This window comes from Homo sapiens, chromosome 12, assembly GCF_000001405.40.
Source record: "Homo sapiens chromosome 12, GRCh38.p14 Primary Assembly".
Classification (NCBI taxonomy): Eukaryota; Metazoa; Chordata; class Mammalia; order Primates; family Hominidae; genus Homo; species Homo sapiens.
The window spans coordinates 105,599,986-105,603,374 of record NC_000012.12 but is presented as its reverse complement, the minus strand read 5'-3'; positions in this window follow the sequence as shown (position 1 = coordinate 105,603,374).

The following is a 3,389-nucleotide window of genomic DNA, read 5'->3' as shown; positions in this document are numbered from 1 at the left end:
ATACAAAATACTGATCCTGGGTGTGTCCGTGAGGATGTTGCCAAAGGAGATTAACATTTGAGTCAGTGGGCTGGGAAAGGCAGATAGATCCACCTGTAATTTGGGTGGGCACAATCTAATCAGGGGCTAGCAAGGCTAGAATATAAGCAGGCAGAATAATTTGAAAAGCAAGACTGGCCTAGCCTCCCAGCCTACATCTTTCTTTCATGCTGGATGCTTTCTGCCCCCAAACATTGGACTTCTAATTCTTCAGTTCTGAGACTCAGACTGGCTCTCCTTGCTCCTCAAGCTTTCAGACAGCCTGTTGTGGTAGCTTGTGATCATATAAGTTAATACTTAATAAACTCATATATATATTTCCTATTAGTTCTGTCCCTTTAGGGAACCCTGACTAATGCAATATATCTATCCTATTAGTTCTTTCCCTCTAGAGAACCCTAACTATTACAGTTTCCTTGTCTATATGTAGGGATAACAATACCATCTACCTCCTGGGGTTGATGTGAAGACTAAATGAATTTTTACATGAGAGACACTTAGAGCAGTGACTGGCATGTGCTACCTATGTGTTAGCCATCAGTTATACTTCATCCATATAGATGGAAGCCTCAGTTTATGGCTATGAAGATATAAAGTTTTACATTTTAATTTTATATATACCTAGTGTATTAGTTCGTTTTCCTGCTGCTGATAAAGACATACCTGAGACTGAGTAATTTATAAAGAAAAAGAGGTTTAATGAACTCACAGTTTCACGTGGTGGGGAGGCCTCACAATCATGGTGGAAGGTGAATGGCACTTCTTACATTGGCAGCAGGCAAGAGAGAGAATGAGAACCAAGCAAAGGGGTTTCCCCTTAGAAACCACCAGATCTGGTGAGACTAACTCACTACCAAGAGAACAGTGTGGAGGAAACCGCCCCCATGATTCAATTATCTCCCACCGAGTCCCTCCCACAACATGTGGGAATTACGGGAACTACAATTCAAGATGAGATTTGAATGGGGACAAAGCCAAACCATATCACCCAGGAAAGAGAAGCTTGCTGGAAGTAAGGAGGGAGAATGTGATGGAAAAGGAAATGTCAAAGCTAGATGACCTCCTTCACAATTCAGGTCCTTTAGCCTGGTTGGGCACCTAATGGGGAAAAAAGATGGAGTGGAAGCTGATGAGGATTTAGTGAGATGCTGAGCACAAGAAAAGCTGCTTTGGGGGCCCAGCGGCAAAGTGGGATATAGAGTTGTGAGGACTCCTTGACTCTATAAATATGACCCAGCTCTCTCCTGGGAGCAGCTGGAAGTGGGCCTGACACAAACAATGGTGGTATTAGCAGTACGAGAGGAAGGAGAATTTTCCTAATACCTAAGCAGGCACTGGCCAAAGGAAAGGCGAGCTGAAGCAGAAGCCAAGTCGCAGAGTGATGCTTTCTGGTGACTGCGGCCACTGGGCTGGCTTGGGAGCTACCAGAGATACTGCAGAACTCAGGGAAGGAGCATTGAGCTTCAGCCCTGCTGTTAGGCAGGGGAAGGTTGTGGGGATGGTAGACATTTGGGCTGCAATTGTGGATGTGGAGATATGACACACAAAAGTACACTGATGTCAGAGTCCCTGACACAACATAGATGCCCTGAAAAAAACAGGAAGGCCAGGAAAATTTTACACAAGGAGGTGAGAAAGTATTTCTGATTAGTCCTGAATCATAAAAGACAAAATTGATCACGATCACGTACTCTGGGTCACTGAGGTTGTGCTGTCTATATAGGAGAGAGAGATTCATTCATTTGGGGTTGGGGGAAACCAAGGAAGATATACTATTTTGTTTCTGTAATCCAAGTTGACACACTGAACATTTTCAAGCTTTTCAAGAAAAGTTGGAATTCAGCAAGGGCATTTTGACAGCACTGAAATTTATGTCTGGCTGGAATGAGATAGTACTCCACATTTTTAAACAGTTTTGGTCAGAGGAGAAAAATGTAAAATTGGTCCCTAGCTAATGAGGCCCTGATCTTCCTTTTATGGCTCTCTAGTATGCAATTAAGGTTAGCTTCATGTAAACTGCCAGTGCGCTCAGACTTTTAACAGCCTTATGTATGTCAGGAAGGAAAATAAATAGTCCCCTGTTTGTGCTTTATGTGGGGAAATTATTGAGATAAACAGCTTGGGCCTGGCAGGTGTGACTTCTTTCAGCTTAACGTGATGGATTTGCCAGTGGAAGCTAGGCTGATAGCACCAAACTGTTGATAGAGGAAAAACATGGTAAAGATTCTGACAGTTATATAAGCACCAGAGCTAGGCATGGTCTGACTTGTAGCTGTGAGATTCTCAGATTTTCAGTGTCTGAGTATGGAAGAAACTAGAATGCTGAGATAGAGGAGACTCATTCTGCAGGAATAGGTCAAATCCTAGAGCTCTGGAGGAATTTAGAGATAAGGAAGTGAGTCCTAGAAAGGGCTAAAGGCTACCCAGCTATTCAGAATTGGACCCAAGGTCTCCAGAACCCATGCTGTTCCCACTATTCTAAACAGCTTCCAAGCACCTTGACAAATCATGCATTGATGAATTCAGTCTTGGAGACCTGGGTTTGGCCCCTGGTTTGGCCACCATCCCCTTGCTCTGGTCACCCCTTCTATTACCTCCACTATAATCCATATTCTTCACCACCTCTAGCATTTCCTAAAATGCAGTTCTGAGCATGCCTCACACCCTGTCCCCTATTTAAAACCCTTTGATGACCCTCTCTGCTATCAGAATAAAATTTTTAGTATTGCTTAAAAGGACCTTCCAAAGCCTGGTCTGTGCTTACTTATCCATCTCCATTCATAATCTCCAATTCCCTCTCACCTAAACTCTATGCTCTGGTCATTCTGAACTATTTGCTCTTTCCCTAAATGTAGAATAGCCACATAAAACACAGGATCCAGCTTAACTGTATGGACTGTTTGGGTCATATTCATCCTAAAGCATTATTTGGGATTAAAATTAAATAAATTTAAATTAGTCAAATTTAAATTTATTTAATTTTAATCCCAAATAATATTTTAGAATGAATAAATTAATCCTAAAATATTAATAAATAAACAAAATTTAAATGTGACTATATATATATAGAGAGAGAGAGAGAGAGAGAGAGATGGGTCTTGCCCTGTCACCCAGGCTGGAGTGCAGCGGGACGATCCTGACTCACTGCAACCTCTGCCTCCCAGGCTCAAGTAATTCTCATGCCTCAGCCTCCCGAGTAGCTGGGATTACAGGTACGTGCCACCATGCCAGGCTAATATTTTTTTTTTTTTTTGTATTTTCCGTAGAGATAGGGTTTCGCCATGTTGGCCAAGCTGGTCTCAAACTTGACCTCGAGCAATCTGCCTGCCTCAGCCTCCCAAAGTGCTGCG